The 17641-nt window shown below is 39.8% G+C and overlaps 2 long non-coding RNA genes across 2 annotated transcripts in view; one reads left to right on the forward strand and one right to left on the reverse strand.

The window, feature by feature from the left end:
• LOC107985714 (uncharacterized) overlaps positions 1-17641 on the reverse strand; it is a 114069-nt gene that overhangs the window by 67677 nt on the left and 28751 nt on the right. The gene's annotated exons all lie outside the window — the stretch shown is intronic.
• LOC105373296 (uncharacterized) lies at positions 1547-7378 on the forward strand. Its single transcript, XR_938468.3, has 3 exons — positions 1547-3594; positions 5024-5185; positions 7069-7378. It is a non-coding gene; the product is annotated as an uncharacterized LOC105373296 (long non-coding RNA).

The following is a 17641-nucleotide window of genomic DNA, read 5'->3' on the forward strand; positions in this document are numbered from 1 at the left end:
AGTCTTACATCCAGGTGTTAACAGCTAACAGTCATTGTTTCTAGGTAGGGGAGATTATGAACACTCTCTAAGGTCATCTTTTGCTTATTTATATGTGTGTGTATTGTTTTTTAATAAGAAAATATAAAAATAGTAAAATAAAATATTTCTTGGACACTTAGCTGGATCCAACTTTCCCTTTCACAAAAAGCACAAAAAAGGAATAGTTGAATGAAAACAAATTAGAAATAAAAATTCAATACCTAGAAAATATTCTGAAAAAATGGAATATAATGCTTCAAGACGCAAAAAGAGTTTTAAAAGAACTCAAACTCAATGTTGCACCCAAATTGCCAATTCTTTAAAAGCTAATGATTTTAGTTGTTATGGACTGAATTGTGTGGCCCACCCCAACCCCCCCACCCCCGATCACTTCCCAAAAATTCATAGGTTGAGGCTCTAACCCCCATGTGACTGTATTTGGAGATAGGGCCTTTAAGGAGGTAATTAAGCTAATTGAGGTCATAAAGGGGGGGCCCTAATCCAATAGGACTGGTGTCCTTATAAGAAAAGTCCTTGCACACAGAGAAAAGGCCATATTAGGACATATAAAGAAGACAGCCATCTGCAAGCAAGGCAAGAGACCTTAGGAGAAACAAAACCTGCTGGCACCTTGATCTTGGACGTCCAGCCTCCAGAACTGTAAGAAAATACATTTCTGTTGTTTAAGCCACTCAGTCTATGGTACTTGGGTATGGCTGCCTGAGAAGACTAATATATTTAGATAGTTTATGTTTGACCAAATCATCAAATTGACCCATTTGTTTTCAGGAAAAGAAAACCTGCTTTAGCTTTATGGAATGTTTTGCTTATTTGTTTTCTTTGGGTTTTATATTTTCTAGTGAGAGGAGGGAAGATACTCTGCCTTAAATGGTAGCAGAGTGTGGTTGTGGTCCCACTGGAGCAGATGTGGAAACAAAGGGAAATGTGATGATTACTTTTATATGTCAACTTAACTGGGTCACAAGGTGCCCATAAATTTGATTAAACATTATTCTAGGTGTGTCTATGTGGGTGTTTCTGGATAAGATTAACATTAACATCTCTTCCTGACTGTCTTTCAGCTGAGACATCAATCTTCTGCATTTGAACTCAGACTCAGACTGAGACTTACAACATTGGCTCTCCTGGTTCTCAGGCCTTCAGACTCAGACTGAAACTTGCACTTATCTCCTCTAAGATGAATGAGTTCTTGCATCTGGCCCTTCTTACAACAACAACAAAAAAAAAGAGACACAATACCTAGTAGGCCTTTTTCAGTTTTGGAGGCAACATAGTCTTCATTTGGAGGCATTACTCCGTCCCACTTACCAGCTAATCCAAAAAGCTTCTAGTTTTTTTTCTTTTTCTTTCTTTGTTTTGAGGCAAGGTCTCACTCTGTTGCCCATGCTGGAGTACAATAGCGCAATCATGGCTCATTGCAGCCTCAACCTTCCAGGCTCAAGTGATCCTCCTACCTCAGTCTCCTGAGTAGCTAGAACCACAGGTGGGTGCCACCAAGCCTGGATTTTTTTTTTTTTTTTTTTGCCTGTAGATATGGGGTCTCCCTATGTTGCCCAGGCTGGTCTCAAACTCCTGGACTCAAGAGACCTCCCACCTCAGCCTCCCAAAGTCCTGGGATTACAGATGTGAGCCACTGTGCCCACCCAGCTGCTAGTTTTGAGTGTGACCCAAAATAAGAGAAGGCTCTGCAAGAGATCCAGTCTGACATGCATCTACTCTGTCACTTGGTCCATAGGATTCAGCAGATCCAGTGCTGCTTACGGTGTCAGTTTTCAATTAGGGTGCTGTTTGGAGCCTTTGACAGGCCTAGGTGAGTCACAGCCCAGGTCCATAGGATTTTGGAGCAAAGCCCTGCCATTATCTACAGATAACTACTCTCTTTTTAAGAAATAGTTCTTGGCCTGTTACTGAACCTTAGTAGAAACTGAATGTTTAACCATGGATCACCAAGTTACCAGGTAACCTGAGCTGCCCATCATGAACTGGGTGTTATCTGACCCACCAAGCCATAAGGTTGGGCATGCATAGCAGCACTCCATCATTGAATGGAAGCAATATATACATGACTTGTCCCAAGCAGGCCCTGAAGGCACAAGTAAGCTACATGAAATGCCTGTGGTCCCCACAGCTGCTACGCTGCCTTCTTTCTCCCAGTCTCACCTGTGGCCTTATGGGGAGTTCCCTACAATCAATTGACAGAGAAACAGAAGATTTGGGCCTGGTTCCGCACAATATACTTGAAAGTAGACAGCAATAGCACTTCAGCCCCTTTCTGAGACATTCCTGGAGGACATTGGTGAATAGAAATCTTCCCAGTGACCAGAATTTTGAGCAGTGCACATGGTTGCTCACTCTGCTAGGAAGGAGAAATGACCAGATGTGCAATAATATGCCAATATATGGGCTATTGGCAATGGTTTGCCTGGATGGTAAGGGATTGGAAGGAACATGATTGGAAAATTGTTGGCAAGGGAATGTGGGGAAGAAGTACATGGATAGACCTATCTGAATGGGCAAAAATTGTGAAGATGTTTGTGTCCTATGTGAATGCTCACCAAAGGTTGACCTCAGCAGAGGAAGATTTTAATCAAGTGCATAGGATGATCTATTCCATAGAGATCAGTGAGCCTCTTTCCTCAGTCACCCCATCATTGCCCAATGGGCTCATGAACAAAGTGGCCAGGGTGGCAAGAAAGAAGGCTATGAATGGGCTCAGCAACATGGACTTCCACTCAACAAGGTCAACCTAGCTATGACCACTGCTATGTGCCCGATATTCCAGTAGCAGAGACCAACACTGAGCTCCCAATATGGCACCATTCCCGAGGCTAATCAGCCAGCTACCTGATGGCAGGTTGATTACATTGGCGTGCTTTCATCATGAAAAGGTCAGTGATTGCTCTTACTGGAACAGACACTCTGGGTACAAATTTGCCTTCTCTGCATGCAATGCTTCTGCCAAAACTACCATCCATGGATTTATAGAATCCCGTATTCACACAGTATTGCTTCTGCTAATCAAGGAATTCACTTCACAGCAATGGAGCTATGCTCATGAAATTCACTGGTCTTACCATGTTCCCCACCATCCTGAAGCAGCTTGTTGGATAAAACAGTGGAATAGTCTTTTAAAGGTTGCTATAGCAGGGCCAGAGCAGCATTCCTCCAGACGGCTGTATATGTTCTGAACCAGCATTCAATATATGATGCTGTTTCTCCTTATAGCTAGGATTCATGAGTCCAGGAATCAAGTGATGGAAATAGGAATGTCACCACCCACTATTATCCCTAGTGACCTACTAGCAAAATTTTTACTTCCTGTTCCCATGACCTTATGTTTTGCTGGCTTAGAGGTCTTAGTTCCAAAGAGAGAAATGCTTCCACCAGGAGACAAAATAATAATTCCATTGAACTGCAAGTTAACACTGCCACCCAGCCACTTTGTATTCCTCAAGCCTCTCACTCAACAGGCAAGGAAAGGAGTGACTATGCTGGCTGGGATGATTGATCCTGATTACCAAGGTGAAATTGGAGTACTACACCACAGTGGAGGTAAGGAAGAGCATGTGTGGAATACAGGAGATCCCTTAAGGCAGGGATGTCCAATCTTTTGGCTTTTTAGGGCCACACTGGAAGAAGAATTGTCTTGGGCCACACATAAAATATGCTAACACTAATGATAGCTGATGCGCTAAAAAAAAAATCGCCAAAAAATCTCATAATGTTTTACAAAACTTTATGAATTTGTGTGGGGCCACATTCAAAGCCATCCTGAGATGCATGCGGCCCATGGGCCACGGGTTGGACAAGTTTGCCGCAGGGCATCTCTTTAGTATTACTGTGCCCCATTATTAAGGTAAATGAGAAGCTGCAACAACACAATGCAGGCAGGACAAAAAGTGGCCCAGACCCTTCAGGAATGAAGGTTTGGGTCACTCCACCAGGCAAACAACCATAACCAGCTGAGGTGGTTGCTGAAGGCAAAGGGAATACAGAATGGGTAGTGGAAGAAAGTAGTTATAAATACCAGCTACAGCCACATGACCAGTTACAGAAACAAAGACTGTAATTGTCATGAGTATTTCTCTTTATTTTATGAATATATTTGTGTGTGTATGCAAAATATCTTTTTCTTCCCTCTCTTATTCCCCTATCATGTCACATATTAACTATATATCATAGCATTTAAGTACTATATTGTTCATTTGTTGGGGCACAATGGTTCATGTCTGTAATCCCAGCACTTTGGGAGGCTGGGGCAAGAGGATTACTTGAGCCGCAAAGTTCAAGACCAGCCTAGGCCACAAAGGGAGACCCTGCTTCTACAAAAAATTTAAAAATTAACCAGGCATGGTGGCATGCACTTGTGGTCCCAGCTACTCAGGAGGCTGAGGTGGGAGGATCACTTGAGCCCAGGAGGTGGAGGCTGCAGTGAGCCATGATTGTGCCACTGCACTCCAGCCTGGGCCACAGAGCGAGACCTTGTCTCAAGAAACATTATAACGTATTGTTAATTTTATATAATAGCATTTAAGTTATGACATCTCAAGGAGAGTAAACATCACTCAAGTACTTTACCTCTTCTTCTAGAGAAGGGGTTAGTGCATTTTTCCTTGTGTGTAGGAGAGTTGTATCATATTGGGTGGAACTGTGGTCTTGTCATTTTATATGGAGATTAAGTGTGGTTAAAGAGATGCATGTTGGGTGCCAAGCTGACAAAGGGTTAGCTCGTGATGGTCAAGTTCCTGTGTCAAATTTATTGGGCCATGGGATGCCTATGTATTTGGTTAAACACTATTCTGGGTATGTCTGTGAGGGTTAAATATTAATCTGGATGAGATTAATATTTAAATTGGTAGACTGAAAAAAAGGAGATTACCCTCCCCAGTGTGGATGGGCATCATCCAATCTGTGGGAGACCTGAATAGAACAAAAGGTGGAATAAGGGAGGATTTACTCTTTCTGCCTGACTCTCTTACAGCTGGGACATCTATCTTCTCCTGCCTTCACACTCAGACTCAGATTGGATCTTACACTATTGGCCTTCCTGGTTCTCAGGTCAAAATACAACTATACCATCAGCAATCCTGAATCTCCAGCTTGCTGACTGTAAATCTTAGGACTTCTCAGCTTTCACAACCAGGTAAACCAATTTCTTTTTTAAAAAATAATTGTAACTGTTATTTTAGATTCAGGGCATACATGTTCAGATTTGTTACATGGGTATATTGCATGATGCTGGGGTTTGGGATAGGAATGATTCTGTCACCCAGGTAGTGAACATAGTACCCAATACGTAGTTTTTCAGCCCTTGCCTCATTCCCTCTCTCCCCACTCTAGTGGTCCTCAGTGTCTGTTGTTGCCATCTTCATGTCCATGTGTACCCAATGCTTAGCTACAACTTACAAGTGAGGATATACAGTATTTGGTTTTCTGTTTCTGCATGACTTCACTTAGGATAATGGCCTCCAGCTACATCCATGTTGCTGCAAAGGATATAATTTCATTCATTTTTATGGCTGCATAGTATTCCATGTTATATATGTACCATATTTTCTTTGTCCAATCCACCCTGGATGGGTACCTGGATTGATTCCACGTCTTTATTATTGTGAATAGTGCTGCACTCAACGTGAGTGAATGTGTCTTCTCGGTAGAATGATTTATTTTCCTTTGAGTATATACTCAGTAATGGGATTGCTAGGTTGAATGGTAGTTCCACTCTCAGTTCTTTTTTCTTCTCCCCAGCTGATTTTTTTTTGTAGAGACAGGGTCTTGCTATGTTGCCCAGGCTAGTCTTGAACTCCTGGACTCAAGCAGTCCTCTCACCTTGGCCTCCCAAAGTGCTGGGCTTTTAGGCATGAGCCACTGCCCCCGGCCTCAACTCAGTTCTTTGAAAAATCTCCAAACTGCTTTCCACAATGGCTGAACTAATTTACATCCCCACCAACAGTCTATAAGCATTCCCTTTTCTCCACAGCCTCACCAGCATTTGTTATTTTTTGACGTTTTAATAATAGCCATTCTGACTGATGTGAGATAGTTTCACATTGTGCTTTTTATATGCATTTCTCTGATGATTAGCGTTGTGGAGCATTTTTTCATATGTTTGTTGGCCGCTTGTATGTCTTCTATTGAGAGGTGTCTGTTCAGTCCTTTGCCCATTTTTCAATGGGGTTATTAGTTTTCCGCTTGTTGAATTAAGTTCCTTACAGATCCTGGGTATGAGACCTTTGTTCGATGCATAGTTGGCAAATATTTTCTCCCATTCTGTGGGTTGTCTGTTTACACTGTTGATAGTTTCTTTTGCTGTACAGAAGCTCTTTAGTTTAATTAGATCCCACTTGTCAATTTTTTGTTTTGTTGCAATTGCTTTTGAAGACTTAGTGATAAATTCTTTCTCAAGGCCAATATCCAGAATGGTGTTCCTATGTTTTCTTCTAGGATTTTTATAGGTTGAGGTCTTACATTTAAATTTTTAATATACCTTGAGTTAATCTTTGTATGTGGTGAAAGATAGGAGTACAGTTTCATTCTCTGCATAAGGCTAGCCAGCTATCACAGCACTATTTATTGAATAGAGTGTCCTTTCTCCATTGCATATTTTTGTCAACTTTGTTAAAGATCAGATGGCTGTACGTGTGTGGCTTTATTTCTGGGCTCTCTATTCTGTTCCACTGGTCTGTGTCTATTTTTATACCAGTACCGTGTTGTTTTGGTTACTGTAGCCTTGTATTTTGAAGTTGGGTAGTGTGATGGCTCCAGCTTTGTTCTTTTTGCTTAGGACTGCTTTGGCTATTTGTGCTCTTTTTTGGTTCCATATGAATTTTAGAACAGTTTTTTCTAATTCTGTAAAAATGATATTGGTAGTTTGATAGGAATACCATTGAATCTGTATATGAGCCAATTTCTTATGATAAATAAGTAAGTATATATGTATATATTATACATCTATTAGATATATACATATTCATAGTATCTAATATTTGTGTACATATAGCTCCTATTGGTTCTTTTTCTTTGTAGAACCCAGACTAATACAAGAACCAAATCTACGTCCAAGGCAAGGCAACGTAGTAAAGCAAGAAATCATCAGAACCTGGCTTGGGACTGAAGTGGAAGAAGAAGGGCTGTTCATTGGCAAGAATCAAATCTGAGTCTTATATGGGAGGCACAAGCTGATGAGAGTAGGTTGGGAAGGTGAGATTTGGTGAGATAGCCTGAAGCAACTGCACTCATCAAAGAGCTTTTATGAAGAATTGGCTTCTGTGCCTGTGGGATAGTAGAGACCTTTAAAAGGCAGTCTGGACAAAAACATGAGAATTGTTTCTATAAGGAAGGAAGGAAGAAAGGAAGGGAGGGAGGGAGTGGGGAAGGGAGGAAGGAAAGGGAAGGAGGGTTACTGCGATATCAACAGCACATCTGAATTATCTGTCATTAGATAGCTAGCTGTCTAATGATAGATAATTAGATAGCTATCATTACTAGCTATCTAATAAGATGTGGAGAAAAACTAAAATTGTTGCTTATTACTTCACATTCTGCCAATAAGCTGCCACAGATAATATTTTGAATAATTTTACTTAATTGCACATTCATTTAATCAATATGCCCCTAAATTTCAGCTCCATCTCCAATTATACTATATGATTATATCATTGTTCCTAATATATATATATATATATATATATATATATATATATATATATTTTTTTTTTTTTTTTTTTTTTTTTTTTTTTTTGAGACGGTGTCTTACTCTGTCGCCCAGGCTGGAGTGCAGTGGCGCGATCTCGGCTCTCTGCAAGCTCCTCCTCCCGGGTTCTAGCGATTCTCCTGCCTCAGTCTCCCAAGTAGCTGGGATTACAGGCGCGCGCCACTATCTCTGGCTAATTTTTTTTTTTTTTTTTTTTTTTTGAGATTGAGTCTCGCTCTGTCGCCCAGGCTGGAGTGCAGTGGCGCGATCTCGGCTCTCTGCAAGCTCCTCCTCCCGGGTTCACATCATTCTCCTGCCTCAGCCTCCCGAGTAGCTGGGACTACAAGCGCCCGCCACTGCGCCCGGCTAATTTTTTTTCTATTTTTAGTAGAGACAGGGTTTCACCTTGGTCTCGATCTCCTGACCTCGTGATCCGCCCGCCTCGGCCTCCCAAAGTGCTGGGATTACAGACGTGAGCCACCGCACCCAGCCAATTTTTGTATTTTTAGTAGGGGGGGGGTTTCACCATGTTGGCCAGCTGGTCTTGAACTCCTGACCTCAGGTGATCCGCCCGCCTCGGCATCTCAAAGTGCTGGGATTACAGGCATGAGCCACCGCGCCCGGCTAATATTCTTTATTTCATTGTTTTGTTCACTTGTGGTATGGGCTTAACTATAGATATTAAGAGCCAGGCTCTGGAATCAAACTACCTAGATTCAAGTCCAGGTGCTGCCTCTTTCTAGCTGTGTGACCTAGGGCAAGTTACTGAAACTCTGTGACTCAGTTTTTAAGGAAGAGTTGTTGTGAGGATTAAACGTGTTAATACCACGTTTAGATTCATGCCAGGCACTGTATGATTGTTAAATGTGACATTAAAGTGTAAAAGAGAGACTATCTAAGGAAGACTGTCCTTACTGAATTCCATTCTATGTTACTGCAGTGCACCATTGTTTTCAGTAATATAGCATAATACAGTAGAGATTAATTTCTGTTTTCTTTTTATAATAATAACCTTGCATCCTAATTATGAAATATACAAAGTATATAAATATATAGTAATATAACTAAATATCTACATATAAAATTATAAAATATTTTGAAATGTAAAGTATAAATAAAAATAAAAGTAATAACCACATATATTCAAAATAACCAGTATAATTATTTAAATGTTCTATTAATTCTTAAATCTGTTGTACAGTTTTTAAATCATAAAACAGACATAGGCGCCGGGCGCCGTGGCTCACGACTGTAATCCCAGCACTTTGGGAGGCTGAGATGGGTGGATCACCTGAGGTCAGGAGTTTGAGACCAGCGTGGTTAACATGGCAAAACCCTGTCTCTACTAAAAATACAAAAATTAGCCAGGCATGGTAGTGCGCACCTATAATCCCAGCTCCTCAGGAGGCTGAGGCAGGAGAATTGCTTGAACCCGAGAGGCAGACGTTGTAGTGAGTTGAGATCATGCCACTGCACTCCAGCCTGGACGACAGAGCAAGACTCCGTCTCGGAAAAGAAAAAAAAATAGACATATTCATTTTTTACTTTACAGTCTAATAGGAATTTTTTCCTGTTAGAAAATATTATTTGTAAATGTAATTTTAATTGTTGTATAATATTCCATCAAATAAATATATCACAATTTATTTAGCCATTCATATTTTTAGACCTTGGGGTTGCATCATCTTCCTCTTCTTCTTCCTTCTCCTCCTCCTCTTCCTTCTCCCATTCATTTTTCTTCTTTGCTGTTTTAATTAACACTTAAATATACATCCTGGTACCAGAGTATAGATGAATATATGAACAAATGAAATAATAGATCTGTATTGAACATCTTTAACGCTAATATTCATTATCATCACTAATTATTATATTACCTTAAGGAGAATTCCTAGGAGTAATAGTACTTAATCAAAAGACTTACTTTTATACTGCCATTTCCATTTCCCGTCAGATAGGTTGGACCAATTTAATATTCACTAACAGCATATAAGGGCTCCCATTTTCCTGCTATGTTGGTAACATTGTATATTTCACTTCTTCATCTTTGCAAATTCCATGGGCAGAAATCATTTGCCATCATTTTTTTTTTTTTTTTGAGACAGAGTCTTGCTCTGTTGCCCAGGCTGGGGGGCAGTGGTGCGATCTCGGCTCAATGCAACCTCCGCCTCCCAGGTTCAAGGGATTCTCCTGCCTCACCCTCCCAAGAGCTGGGATTACAGGTGCACTCCACCAAGCCCAGCTAAGTTTTGTATTTTTAGTAGAGACAGGATTTCACCATGTTGTCCAGGTTGGTCTCGAACTCCTGACCTCAACTGATCCACCCGCCTCAGCCTCCCAAAGAGCTGGGATTACAGACGTGACCCAACGGGCCCTGCCCATATGCCATCATTCTTTTAATTTGATATTTTTATGATCAGTAAAATTCAAATGTGTTGACCATTTGTATATATTTTATGGACTGTCTTTAAAATCTTTAGATAACTTTTATTTATCATGTTTTATACATATATACATTTAATTTTATATAAGGCATAATCATAACTATATCATACACAGCTGGAGTTTTGATGGAGTTCTTCTCTTTTTTTATTCTTTTTCTCTTTTTGCTTGACATTCTCCTATATCACCTTCACCCCTATAACCTGTGTTAATGACTTAGTATATATCCTTCCAGAGTTTTCTTCATGCTCATAATTAAACCCAATGAGGGAGGGGCATAAAGAGAAAAACAAAATGTGGAGGGGTGTTGTGAGAGAGAGAGAGAGAGAGAGAGAGAGAGAGAGAGAATGTGTGCGTTTCAGAGAGAGAGAAAGAGACTATGAGAATATGAATGAATCATTAAGAGAGAACATGGACACTCTGGAGCCAAAATGCCTAGGTTCAAATTGCATTCCTGCCATTTACCGGCTGTGTGAACCTGGACAAGTGACTTTACTTCCCTATACCTCAGTTTCCTCATTTGTAAACTGAGCATCATAGTAATACCTACCTAATTGAGTTAATGCATGTACATTTCTTAGAAGAGTTCTGGCGCACCATATGTGTTTTATAAATGTTAACTATTGTTATATATACGAGTTTGGAGGTCATCATTTGCTTTGCAAAAATGCTATTATACACATCTTTTTGGAAGGGAGATCTTGTTTTTCCAATAGGAGAGACATAATACAGTTGACCCTTGAAAAATGCAGAGATCAGAGCGCTCCCCACCCTTGCACAGTCAAAAATCTCTGTATAACTTTTAACTCCCCCAAAACTTACCTGCTAATAGGTACTACTGTTGACAGGAAGCCTTACAGAAAACAAGAAAGGTTGAATAAGACATATTTTGCATGTTAAATGTATTATATACTGTATGCTTACAATAAAGGAAGCTAGAGAAAAGAAAAAGTTTTGAAGAAAATCATAAGGAAGAGAAATATATTTACTATTCATTAAGTGGAAGTGAATCATCATAAAATTCTTCATCCTCATTGTCTTCGTGTTGAGTAGGCTGAGGAGGAGGGAGAAAGGAAGGGTTAATTTACTTAAGATGTGTTATTTTATGCACCACTAAGAAGAAAGAAAATGTGCTACCAGTTAAAAATGACACAACGCTTTCTAATCATTTAGAATCTTTATTTTATTCTTATTGAAAAGTTCTTTTAGACATACTTATCCAAATAATTTTACTGTATATTATTCCTGTGCATATAAATAAACTAAATTGGTTATGGTATTTCTAAAAAAACCTTTCTAACATTGAATCCAACTTTTATGTATGCTTTCAACTCAAAATCATCATCATCCATGTTTTTGCACATAATGTTATTTTATGTGTCATCAAAAACATTGGTGGTGCAACAGTTCTTAAAAGAGTGCTCCATTATCATCACCAGGATTTTATTTGAAGCCACTGACACCCATTCTGCAGTTTTTGATGCTGGGTTCTTCTTGATTATATCAGAAACTGTCAATACAAGGTTTTAAATAAACAGTCAGGATTCATATTCTTTTCTTCCGTAATTTTGTTGAGTGAAACATGTAGAGATTATAATTGGCCAGCCATGCTTCCGGTAGCAACAACCATGTTCATGCATGTGCAGCAGGGGAAATCATGGTATGACTGTTACTCAGCCTTCAGTGATTGTAGAATGCCATCAATTCTAAGGGACATCCCAATTTTAGAAATAAAATCTATGAAAATGTTTTTTAATTAAAAGAATATGATAATTCATTATTTCAATTTAGAAGAATCTGCCTGTCGGTGAGCTTTAGACATTTACTTTTTTGTGTGTGGGAGGTGGGGCTCAGTCATACGTGTCATCTCATTTAATTTTCATAACTCCAAAAAAGAAAACCATTTTACAAGATGTGGAAACTGAGGCTCAAAGTAAAGCAATATGCATGGGAGTCGTGTGGCCAGTAAGTGGCAGAGTTGGGGTTGCAATCCTGGTGGGGTTTTTTGGTTTGGTTGGTTGGGTTATTTATTTATTATACTTTAAGTTCTAGGGTACATGTGCATAACGTGCAGGTTTGTTACATAGGTATACATGTGCCATGTTGGTTTGCTGCACCCATTAACTCGTCATTTACATTAGGTATTTCTCCTAATGCTATCCCTTCCCCTGCCCCCAAACCCATGACAGGCCCTCTGTGATTTGCTTCTTTATATCCTTTTTCATTTTTCTACTAGGGTGTTTTTTTCTTGTCAATTTGTAATAATTTTTGTACATATTTAACTATTTGTCACCTTAGTATCAGAATTCTCCCAGACCTATAATCTACTGATTAATGGTATCTTTTGCCATAACAAATATCTCCATTTTATATAGTCAAAACTGTTACATTTTTTAATAACTTCTGGTTCTCCTGTTTTGCCAATGTCTCCCCTATTCTGAAGCTATAAATGTAATCTCCTTATTTTTCTTCCAGGATTTTAGTTTTTATTTGTTTATGCTTAGTACTTAATCCATCTGTTTTTGTGTGTGTGTGTTTTTATATGATGTGCAATCGGAGTTTAACTTTATTTTCTTCCATATGGACAGCCAGTTGTCCCAGAACCATATATTAAATATTCCATCCTTTCCTCACTGAATTTGAAATGCCATCTTTGTTATATATTAGCACCTCATATTGCCAATGCTGGGGTCTATTACTTGGTATATTTTATCCTTTAAGTTATCTAGAATTTATTCCTGTACAACTGGTTGTCCAGTTGTTCAGAATCGTTTATTGAATAATCATGCTGTCTCCACTGATTTGAAATACCTTATGTATTGGTTCCATTCATCATTCTGTTTTGGCACCAGCATCTCCCAATTTCAATTCTTGTAGCTCTATAACATGTTTTTGTATCTGGTAGGCAAGTCATCTCTCTCCATCCTTTTACACTTCTTTATTAGAATTTAATTGGATATCTTCTCATGTTTATTCTTTCAGATGAACTATAGGATGCTCTGGCCATTTTATGTCTCTCTCTCCATATACGCAAATACTAAATACATATATACATGCATGCATGCATACACACATACTGTGATATGAGTTTGCTTGAAAGTTTGTTGCATGTGTAGATATACTTCCTGTGTTTCTCCATTAATTAGTCTTCTTTTATGTCATTAGTAGAGTTTTGTAGTTATCTTAATTTGGTCTTGCACATGTTTTTTTAAATTTTACTATTTGGCATTTTTGTGTCAGTATCGTGAAGATGTTTTTCATTTCATTAACAAATGGATTATTGCTGGAATATTGTAAGTATATTGATTTTAGTATATTAATATTATAGTTTTGTACTTCATTCTTCAGAGGTTTGCAGATCGAGAATTACATCACCTACAAATAATGAAAATTTCCTACTTTTCATTTATACTTGATTTATACATTTATATTTTATGCATGCTTTGACAAATATGTCCATAATGACATTGAATAACAGAGATAATAGTAGACAGTCCTATTTGTTCTGAATTTTAATAGGAATGCTTCTGGTATTTCTTCATTAAGTATAATGCTAATGTTGACTGAGATAATTTTTTATAATGTGAAGAAACTATCTTTCTACTTCTATTTTACCAGGGGTTTTCTTTAGGAATATCTATTGGCATTTTCCCTCCAGAAAAAATATTTAAGCCTCTGTTGAAATATTGTTCTTCTTTGGCCTGCTATTATGAATTATTATTGGTTTTCTAATATTGAGCCATCCATGCATTAATGGTACGCCATTTACTTAAACATCAACTATTATTCATAACATTTACAACTATAAATTATAACATTTGCTTAATCATCAACTATTATTCTTTGAATATATTACTGGATTCAGGTTGCTACTTCATTACTTAGAATTTTTGCACCAATATTTACAATTCATGTCAAATAGTTGCTTTATTAATAAATACACTTAAAACGAGTAAGTTTCCTCTGAATTCAGTTTCGCCTCATAAGTTTGATAGTATTGTTTTCCCTGGCGTTATTTTCTAAATAGTGATTTAAGCTAAGCTTGATTTCTACTAGCTCCAATATCCATTTTAGAAGAGTGTTTTTTTTATTTTTAATGGTTCAATTTTTTCTATTTATAACTCTGCTATTAATATGCGGTTTTATGAAACCTTGACAAAGAACGCAGTTTACACAATTTCTTATTTGGAGAAAGTAGTAAGATTCTTTTTGTGGATTAAAATATGAAATATGATCAATTTTGGTGTTTCATAGACATTTGAAAAAAAAGTGTATTTTCTATAGCACCAATGTGTGTGTGAAATTGATAGTATTATTAGTCTCTTCCTTACTTTCTTCTTTTTCTACTCAATTTGTCAAAGATTAGAAAAGTTGTGTCAAAATTTCCCCTGATGGTTGTGATTTTGCTAACTTTTCCTTATGTTCTGATAACTTTTGCATTATATATTTCGATGTTATCTGATACTTAACCATTGTTTTGTCAATAAAAATCAGTCTTTTCAATGTAGTTTTGAGCTTTTTACTTTTTATTCTACTTTGCCTGGTGTTGAAGTTGTAAACCTTTCTTTCCTCTCACTTTCATTTGCCTGATAAAGCTTTGTTCTTTATTTGCAATTTTTCTCTAACCTAGTTGTAGAATATCGGTCTTGTATTAGGAGAGCTTAATCCTTTCATATTTATCATCATGAGTGATATATTTGGTCATAGTTTTGACACGCTATTTGACACTTGCCATATTTAATATGTAGATTTAATAAATAGTTACTTTTTTTTTTTGAGACAGAGCCTCGCTCTGTCATCCAGGCTGGAGTGCAGTGGCGCTATCCCAGCTCACTGCAACCTCTGCTTCTCGGGTTCAAGGGATTCTCCTGCCTCAGCCACCCAAGTAGCTGGGACTACAGGGGTGCGCCACCACTCCCAGCTAATTTTTGTATTTTTAGTAGAGACAGGGTTTCACCATGTTGGCCAGGCTGGTCTCGAACTCCTGACCTCAAATGATCCACGCATCTCAGCCTCCCAAATTGCTGGGATTACAGGCGTGAGCCGTTCCACCCAGCTGATCATTGCTTTTAAATTTCGTTTGCTCATTGTTCTAGTTTTCCTTGTGCTTTGCTCACTTTCTGTCTTTCTCTTTGTAATCTGGTGATATTGCGTCCGGAATTGGTGGGTTCTTGGTCTGACTTCAAGAATGAAGCCGCGGACCCTCAGGGTGAGTGTTACAGCTCTTAAGGTGGCGCGTCTGGAGTCTGTCCCTTCTGATGTTCAGATGTGTTCGGAGTTTCTTCCTTCTGGTGGGTTCGTGGTCTCCCTGGCTCAGAAGTGAAGCTGCAGACCTTCGCAGTGAGTGTTACAGCTCTTAAGGCAGCGCGTCTGGAGTTGTTCGTTCCTCCCGGTGGGCTCGTGATCTCGCTGGGCTCAGGAGTAAAGCTGCAGATCTTCGCGGTGAGTGTTGCAGCTCATAAAAGCAGCATGGACCCAGAGTGAGCAGTAGCAAGATTTACTGCAAAGAGCGAAAGAACAAAGCTTCCACAGTGTGGAACGGGACCGGAGCGGGTTGCCAATGCTGGCTCCGGCAGCCTGCTTTTATTCTCTTATCTGGCCCCACCCACATCCTGCTGATTGGTAGAGCTGAGTGGCCTGTTTTAACAGGGCGCTGATTGGTGCGTTTACAATCCCTGAGCTAGATAGGAAGGTTCTCCACGTCCCCATCAGATTAGTTAGATACAGAGTTTTGACACACAGGTTCTCCAAGGCCCCACCAGAGCAGCTAGATACAGAGTGTCAATTGGTGCATTCACAAACCTTGAGCTAAACACAGGGTGCTGATTGGCGTGTTTACAAACCTTGAGCTAGATACAGAGTGCCGATTGGTGTATTTACAATCCTTGAGCTAGACATAAAGGTTGTCCACGTCCTCACCAGAGCAGCTAGATACAGAGTGTCGATTGGTGCACTCACAAACCTTGAGCTAAACACAGGGTGCTGATTGGTGTATTTACAATCCCTGAGCTAGATGTAAAGACTCTCCACGTCCCCACCAGACTCAGGAGCCCAGCTGGCTTCACCTAGTGGATCCCGCACCGGGGCTGCAGGTGGAGCTGCCTGCCAGTCCGGCGCCGTACGCTGGCATTCCTCAGCCCTTGGGTGGTCGATGGGACTGGGCACCGTGGAGCAGGGGGTGGTGCTCGTCGGGGAGGCTCGGGCCGCACTGGAGCCCATGGAGTGGGTGGGAGGCTCAGGCATGATGGGCTGCAGGTCCCGAGCCCTGCCCCGTGGGAAGGCAGCTAAGGCCCGGCGAGAAATCGAGCGCAGCGCCGGTGGGCCAGCACTGCTGGGGGACTCAGTACACCCTCTGCAGCCACTGGCCCGGGTGCTAAGTCCCCCATTGCCCGGGGCCAGCAGGGCTGGCTGGCTGCTCCGAGTGCGGGGCCCACCGAGCCCACGCCCACCCGGAACTCCAGCTGGCCCGCAAGCGCCGCACGCAGCCCCGGTTCCCGCTCATGCCTCTCCCTCCACACCTCCCTGCAAGCTGAGGGAGTGGGCTCCGGCCTTGGCCAGCCCAGAAAGGGGCTCCCACTGTGCAGTGGGGGGCTGAAGGGCTCCTCAAATGCCACCAAAGTGGGAGCCCAGGCAGGGGAGCTGCCGAGAGCAAGCGAGGGCTCTGAGGACTGCCAGCATGCTGTCACCTCTCAATATGGAAGTTGTATATGATAGTTTTATTATGTGGTGTTCTAGTAAACTGGTCCTCCCGCAAAAAGCTGTGATTTGTAGTGCTTTTGTGTTTACCAATTGCTGGTTTTGGTAGTGTAAATACTTCCAACATTGCTAATTTCAAGTTACCAACATAACATTAACGATGCCAACAATTAGCTCTCAGGAGCTAGTATGATTTGGCTCCAGTACAACACTGGATTTATTGTACTAACGTCTATGTTTACATTAAAAAATTTGATCTCTATATCTCCACCTATATATAAAAAAAGTGCCAATTGATCTCATCTATATGGAATGACAGATTTAATATGCATTTATTCATCATCACTAATCCTCACCAATTTCACGTTTTATTGAAATAACCTGATTTTTTACATTGAGGTTATTAAATCTTTTTATTATATAATTTATATTTGGGTAATTCTTTTGGAATTATTGTTACATTTCATAAACACATCAATAACAATTATTCATACAAATTAACTGTATGGTTTTCTGATCAAAGCACTGATAACCATATTTTATGATATACTTACAAAAGTATTCAAATGATATTCAATTCCCTCATTTTTCTAGATATTTTATTTTTCAATTAAGTAGGCAATCTGGATCAGGTGTCTAGGACCTAAACCACCCTAGACTTTCAGAAATAACCTTCAGCAACTCAAATATGTGTTAACATCAGTGTAATTTTCAAAGGACAACACAAGAAATGCTAATAAGAATTTCACTACAGATTTTGCTGTAGAT

This window comes from Homo sapiens, chromosome X (assembly GCF_000001405.40).
Source record: "Homo sapiens chromosome X, GRCh38.p14 Primary Assembly".
Taxonomy (NCBI): domain Eukaryota; kingdom Metazoa; phylum Chordata; class Mammalia; order Primates; family Hominidae; genus Homo; species Homo sapiens.